Below are 8,274 nucleotides of genomic sequence, written 5' to 3' on the forward strand. Positions count from 1 at the left end.
AAAGAAAAGTGAAGAAGAGAAATAATTTTTAAAATTGAGCAGAATTAGTTAAATTGAAAATACGAACACAATAGAGAAAATCAACAAAAGCAAAAGAGGGTTCTTTGAAAACGTCAATAAACCTGAGAAGCAACTAGGCTAAAATAAAAAGAAGACACAAATAGCCAATATTAGAAATGAAAGAGAGGTTATCATTAGTGATCTCTCACATATTAAAAGTATAATAAACAAATACTCTGATTAACTCTATGCCCAAAGTTTTGATAGCTTCAATAAGATAGTTTAATTTCTTTTAAGATACAGACTATCTAAACAAAAGGCAATAAGTATTTAAGAAAGAAATGATGCCAGTTCTCCACAATCTTTTCTAGGAAATAGAAGCAGAGAGAACACTTTCTAACACATACTAGAAATTTAATCATTATCCTTACACCAAAACCAAATAAAAACTTAAGAAAACTATAGATGAACGTATCTCATAAACATAGACACAAAAACTCTCCAAAATATTAGCAAATCAAACTTGAACAATGTAAAAAAAAAAAAAAAGACTTATATGGCCAAGTGGCGTTATTCCAAGTGTGCAAGTTTGAGTCAACATTTGAAAATCAATGTAATCTACCACATCAACTGCCTAAGAAGAAAAGTATATAATTATATCAATTGATGCAGAAAAGGCCTTTGAAAAGATACAGTACTCCTTCCTGATAAAAACTCTCAGCAAAGTAGGAAGAGAGGAAAACTTCCAAATACCATAAGGTTCCCACATTTATGCACCATCAAAAAAAGGTGGATTCATGGAAATAGAGTAAAATGGTGATTACCAGAGGCTGGGGGTCCTGGGGGTGGAGTGAAAAGAGAGAGATATTGGTCAAAGGACACAAAGTTTTAGTTAGACAGGAGGAATAAGTTTAAAAGATCTGTAGTACACCATGGTCACTATACTGAATACAATATATTGTGTACTTCAAAATTGCTAGGAGAAGATTTTAGGTGTTCTGAACACAAAAATAGTATGCGAAATAATGTATGTTGATTTAGCCATTGCATAATGTATACATATATCAAAATGTCATGTTGTATGACATAAATACATATAATTTTTACTTGTTAATTAAAAAATAAAAGTTTAAAAAATTGTAGCTGTGCCTAACATCATACCCAGTGTTGAGAGACCGGATATTTTACCTCTAAGATTGAGAACGTGGGAAAAATAACCTTTTTAACAATCTTATTTAACATCATATTGGAAGTTCTAGCAGGTACAATAAGACAAGAAAACAAAATAAAAGATATACAGATTGAAAAGGAAGAAATAAAATGTTATTTTATCACTGAGTGTATGGCAGTCTATGAAAAAATTCCAAAAACTCAACATAAAAATCTTTGGAAATAATAACTAAGTATAACAATGTGGCAGAATGCAAATTTAATATACAAAAGCAAATTACTTTCCTATATATAAGAAATTGGAATTTGAAATTTTAAAAAGAAATACATTAGGAACGATAAAAGATAATATACCTAGGTATAAATCTAAAGAGCTATTTACAGAATTTGCATGCAGAAAAGTACAAAACTCTGATGAAAGAAATCAAAAGAAGATCCAAATAAATGGAGAGATATTCTGTATTCATAAATTGGAAAAGTTAATATTGTGAAGATGTTAATTCTTCCAGCTTGATCTAAAGATTCAGTGCAATTCCTGTCAGAATCCCAGCAAGCTACTTTGTAGATATCCACAAAGAGATAATGTTTATACGGAAATAAAAAAAATAAAAAAAAAGGAAAAACAACAACAAAAAAACAACGAAATAGCCAACATGATACTGAATAAGTACAACAAAGTGGGAAGACCTTACCCAACTATAAGACTTACTATATTTCAATTTGTCAGTGGAACAGAACAGAAAGCCCAGAAGTAGACCCACACAGATATTATGAACTGATCTTTGATCTTTGACAAAGAAGCAAGCCAAAAGGTGCTGGAAAAATTGGATATCCATATGAGAAAAAAAAAAGAATCTAGACACAGAGCTTTCATATTTCACAAAAATTAACTCAAAAGAAACTAGAGAAAAAAATGTAAAATGCAAAACCGTAACATTTCTAGAAGATAATATAGGAGAAAATCTAGGTAATTCTGAGTTTGGCAATGAATTTTTTATATATAGCATGAAAAGTATAATCTATGAAAGAAATATTGACATGTTGGACTTTATTATAATTAAAAGTTTTACTATGTGGAAGACTGTTACCAAATGTAAAGCAAAGGACAGACTAGGACAAAATTTGCACAACACATATCTAATAAGTGTTTAGTATTCAAAATTTGCAAACAGCTCCTAAATGTCATCAATAAGAGAATAAACAATGTAATTTTAAGGAAAATGATCTGAACAGACAATTCACCAAAGAACATTATACTAATGAAAAAAATGATATAAGACAAGATGATCAGCACACGATTTCATTATGGAGTACCAAATCAAAACAGCAATGAAATAGCACTACTAGAATACATAAAATTAAAAAAAAACTGACGTTCACAAATTCTGACAAAGATGCAGAACAGGAACATTTATTAAAAATACAAAATTATACACTGATTTTGGAAGACCATAGCAGTTTCTAACAAAGGTAAATACAGTCTTACCGTATGACCAACAATTGGACTCCTAAGTATTTACCAACTAATTTAGAAATATATGTTCACACAAAAACTTACATATGAATGTTTATAACAGCTTTATTCATTCATAATCACCCCAAGTAGAAGCAACTAAGCTGTGCTTCCTTAAGTGAATGCATAATCAACTGATATTTTCATACAACAGAATATTATTCAGCTATTTTTAAAAGTTAGCTATTAAGTCACAAAAAGACATGGATGAATCTTAAATTCATATTGCTTTGGGTAAGAAGTCACTCTGAAAAGTTTACATAATATATGGTTACAATTATAAAACATTCTGGAAGAGACAAACTATAGCTATAGTAAGAATATCAGTGGTTGCCAGAGGTTCCTAGTGATAGAGTAGTATTTAATGAATAAAGCATAAGGGACTTTTTCAGGATGGTGAAACTATTAAATATGATACTATAGTGGTAGATATATGACACTATACATTTATCAAAATGCATAGAATTTTACAACACATAGAGTAAATTTAAATCTGTGTAATTAAAAAAATCATTTAGGAGGTTGGCAGGGTGTCCTGGGATAGAATACAGAATGTGATAAAACAATCTACAAATGTATACAGTTAACAAATGTATAAAACAAATTCACTGACAGTTGTGGGTGGTTCTAAATTTGCTGACCTAAGTAACTCTGAAAATGATTAGAACTGGAAATAAAAGTAAAGGCAAAAGAGATTGCTCATAAAGATTACGTTCTAGTTGATAAAATTAGTTCTCATGAGTATTGACTGAGTTAACAATTCTGATATTGTTATGCACATATACCAGAAATTAACAAGTAAGTAAATGAATGGTAGATGGTGGGAACCAAGTTTCTTGCTGCTGTATTGGAAGGTTACAGACAAGCAAGAGAAGGAGACTACAATGATGTATGTGATAATGCATTACAGTTGGAAGCATCAGTATATACTCATGTTTAGCTTAATATATACACAGATATTTACACAGAAACATATTTGTAAGTATGTGCATATGCACATATTTAAGCATACACATATTTTTTAGCATACACATATTTTTTCTTACTCTTTCAGATGAGGAGTCCTAAAAACAAGGACATCCAAGTAGCAATAAGCTCATTTAGAATGTAGATGTAGGTTTTTGATACCATTAGCCTTAAAAGAAACAAATTCTCCTAGAATAAATGACCAATTCTGGGATTGGAGAGTAAATATACAAGATGAGCCTGCAGCATCTTGTAGTGCCATAGGTAAGGAAATCCTAGAAACTCACATGTACAAGGACAGAATTAGATGATCGAATAAAGAAAGAAATGGAGAAGAGACAACTCTTTTGTGCAAAATAATTTGAAATAACTTGTGTGGATACTTTGCCCTCAAGAAAAGTGAGCATAACTCTTTACTCCTTAAATGTGTGTCACACACAGTGACTTCCTTCCAATGAGTACAATATGGAAAGGACAATGAAAGAGTGACTTTACGGTGGAGAAACCTGACAAAGCCTACCTCATTCAGGTGATCAAATTCAACATTAATGGCTTAAAGTACCCTTTGCCTGATGTGATAAAATGGCATTTGAATTTTGTGTTCTCCCTCCCCAAAACCCATATCCACAGTCTAATTATGGGCAAACATCAGGTGTATTTCACTGGAGGGCTATTCTGTAAAACTCCTGACCAGTACTCCTGAAAACTGTCAAGGTTTTAAAACACAAGGTTTGTCTAAGAAACTGTCATGGCCATAAAGAGCCTAAAGAAATATGTCGATTAAATGAAATGTGGTTTCCTAAATGAGATCTTGGAATAGAAAAAGGACATAAGGTAAAAATGAAATGAATCTAAATAAAGTATAAGCTTAATGACAATCTGTCAATGTTGGTTTACTCTATGTGACAAATGAGCCATACTAACATAAAACGTTAATAGGAGAAACTGGGTTCAATGTACATGGGAACACTCTACCTTCCTTACAATTTCTATCGATCTAGAAACTGTTCTAAAAAATAAATTTTATTAGAAACTACAGGAGGCTTAAGGGAAAATGATATTAAGAGTACAACATTAAAAAACTTTGACAGTAACACATAAAAATGATAGGAAACAAATAAGAATAACAGTACAATTCAGCATATGTTAGTGGCTAAGAAGTGTCTAACTATTATATTAGATGACTTTTTAACTAGGAAAAGGCCTAAAATTTCCTTGTGCAAATGGACACCCGTGATCTTGTGGTCTGTTTGCCTGACTGCCTTTTCTGCTACACTGTGAGAAGAAAGAGACAAAAGCGAAATAGAAATAGAGTGAGAAAAAGAGTGGGACGTGGTGGCTCACACCTTTAATCCTAGCACGTTGGGAGGCTGAGGAGGGAGGATCACTTGAGGTTGGGTGTTCGAGACCAGCCTGGCCAACATGGTGAAACCCCGTCTCTACAAAAAATACAAAAATTAGCTGGGTGTGGTGGCAGGCACCTGGAATCCCAACTACTTCGGACACTGAAGTGGGAGAATTGCTTGAGCCTGGGAGGTGGAGGTTGCAGTGAGCCAAGATCGCGCCATTGCACTCCAGCCTGGGTGACAGAGCGAGACTCTGACTCAAAAAAAAAAAAAGAAAGAAAGAAGAAAGAAAGAAAGAAAGAAAGAAAGAAAGAAAGAAAGAAAGAAAGAAAGAAAGAAAGAAAGAAAGAGAAAGAAAGAAAGAGAAAGGAAGGAAGGAAAAAGAAAAAGAAAGAAAGGAAGAGAAAGAGAAAGAAAGAGAAAGAAAGAAAGAGAAAGAATCAGTTAAAAGAGATTAAAAAATCTAGGCTGAGAAAATATTAGGGAAAATTAAAGAGCAGGGAGGGCATAAGGTTATGTCTGATGGGTTGTATGTTGTGCCTGCCTTATCATACTTAGTGGAAAATGGGTTCTCTGAAAATAGATTCAGAGATCTAACACCAAAAGGAGAACTGAAGTAGCTGGTAGTTGTCTGACGTGAAGTGATATGTGTGTGCACACTAGGCTATGTGCATGCACATTTTATGTATTGCTACTGAGCTGAGTTCAGTTGGATGCAATGTTCTGGCATTTTCTGAGTTTTTCTTGTAGATATAATTGTGCATAAGCAAATGTGAAATTCATGTTATGCATAAATTGTTCCCTAATATATTAAACATATTGAAACAAATTTACATTTTCAAAACAAGTAACACAACTCACTGTACAAACAAATATGAATATAAGTATACATCCTAATCCTCCTCATTCTTACAGAAAAGTAACTTATTTGCTACATATAATCTGCTTCTTGTTTATTCCATATGAGTGTCAAAGGTATCTGAGAATGACCAAGGTTAAAACCTGATATTTCAGTGATAAAATATCTATATTAGATTTGATGCTGTACAATCTAGACATCTTTGCCAAACCTTAACTGTAAGTCAGATATTTATAAGCCTCACTTCAGATCTGAAATACTTGTGTGGATTTTAAATAAAAAGATCTCCAAGACTTACTCTAAACCAGTGTTCCTTAAACTTTACTGGCATAAAAAAATCTTGAAATAATTATTAAAATGGTACATTATCAGGTCTTTCTCCAGAGCTGGTGAATCAGAATCATGGAAGATGTAGGTAAGGTCCTGAGCCTATGCATTTAATAAATAATCCAATTGATTTTTATTCAAAGTAAGTTTTAGAAACATTGTTTTAGACACTGAATCAGAAACTATGTTGCAGGGGCTCTGGTATCTGCATATTTAAAAACCACAACTGGTGATTACCATGAGCATCCTAATTTGAGAATTATTTCTTTGCATAGTGAATTTAGCTCGGGGCATTCTTACAGCTCAGAAGCCCATAACCATGATCTCTCTGATCAATGATTTTACACAGATTGCCATGTAGTGGAATGTTGCTTAAGATTCCCACAGGAGCTGGAGTGACTTAGAACAACAGGGTAGAAGTATATTTTAAAACTATGAAGCATAAATGACCTTCCTAAAGTTGGTGAAAATCCAGGGTAGAAAAAAATACAATTTTCTGTTTTGTTCTGTTTTGTTTTTGAGATGAGGTTTGCTCTGTTGCCTGGGCTGGCATGCAGTGGCATGATCGTAGCTCACTGCAGCCTTGAACTCCCGGGCTCAAGCAATTGGGAAAAAAAATGTAAATTATAGAATCTCTGGAGAGTGAAATGAATTGTGTCGCCATCTTCTTTCCCTCATCTGGAAGCTTATTCTTTCCCATCCTGGATTGCTTGGCTGTCTCTAAGTGTGATTCTGTTCCATTCACTGTTGGCCAGGTCTGCTAAATGGTTTGCTGATACTGAACTCATACCAGCTGCTCAGATTTCCTTGTCATCTTTTTAATGCTTCTCTGTCTTTCTCTTTTCCTCTGTATTTCTAGTTCCCTCTCTCTTTCACTCTTTTTTTTTCCTTCTTTTTATAAGTCATCCACCTATAAAGAATGTGAACTCCCATCTGCTCAGACCAAGCAGAGGCTAGACCAGATGTGAGCTGCAATTTGCTAAATGGGAAACAAACACAAGGAATGCAGCCCGTCTGCCATCTGTTGATGCAGAAAGCAGCAGGGCATGCCTGGCATTTCAACAGGGCTCCCCCACTGGGAAATTGAAAGAGAAAAAGCATTTGTTTCCTTTTTCCCCTTTTCTGACCTGACAGCTCCTTTGAGCAAGCTGGGGAGGAGAGGAGGACATCTTGCCATGAAGAAATGACAGCTGACATAGAAATGTTTGAGCCTAATAAATAAGCTCTATTTTTGCATTAAAAGCTCTGCCCTTGCCACAGGTGCTTCTTCTCAGTGGTATTGAGCGTCTAATCTCTGTAGTCATCAGGAATGCAGCAGAGTGACAGAGTCCTCTCTTCCAAATTTCTAATCAGATTTTCTCTGAATGCCACATAGAATGCTCTTGGGAAGGTTAAAGTTAATAAGGCAGGTGAAACAAAAGAGACAGATTTCTCCTGGTTGCCGAGTGCTGGTGTTACCTGGTCAAGGAACACCTGGTTTACATTTTCAGAAAGAGATGAATATAATAGAACAAGTGGCCTGGGTGACATAGACATGTTAACTTGAACCTCTCTGACCCTGATTGTGTGAATAGCGTCATTCCATCAATTTCCTTCCTACATGCATATCCTTAGGAAAGACCTCTGTTGCTCACTGGGGTGAATCATGATGAATAAAGTGCAGTGCCTGTTTACATGAGGCCCCATTATCTAATAAAGTATGTAATTTTTAAAAACATGTACTTTAAAGAAAATGAACTTAGTTTTGACAATGTCCTTATTTACTAATGGAGGTAACCCTGGATTTTAATAAGTGTTTTCTTCGAAGAAGGACACACGGGTCTTCCTGATTTTTGCAAGCTCTTTATTTTCTAAATAAAATGTTAGATTACTTCAAAAATTGCCCGTTTTGTACACAAAATTATCATTTGAATGATTACCAAATAAATGCAAAATTGTTACTAACATCTACAACTTGTAAAAATACTAACTCCTATTTTCAATGTAGATGCTGTTCGAAATAATCAAATTCTGCACATGGTAACTCTAGAACCTATGAGTTCTCCTCACAATACCGTACTATACAATACGTTTTTGCAGTAGAAAAGAGCTAT

The 8,274-nt window shown here is 33.9% G+C and overlaps 1 annotated feature.

Annotated features, from left to right (window-relative positions):
- Nucleotides 6,936–7,525: an enhancer, noted in NCBI's record as "OCT4-NANOG hESC enhancer chr14:84172774-84173363 (GRCh37/hg19 assembly coordinates)". NCBI's record gives its function as "activates a minimal SCP1, AML or CMV promoter by ChIP-STARR-seq in primed H9 embryonic stem cells {active_cell/tissue: H9 hESC(primed)}" and the evidence as "EXISTENCE:reporter gene assay evidence [ECO:0000049][PMID:30033119]".

The sequence above is a fragment of the Homo sapiens genome, chromosome 14 (assembly GCF_000001405.40).
Source record: "Homo sapiens chromosome 14, GRCh38.p14 Primary Assembly".
NCBI classification, from domain to species: domain Eukaryota; kingdom Metazoa; phylum Chordata; class Mammalia; order Primates; family Hominidae; genus Homo; species Homo sapiens.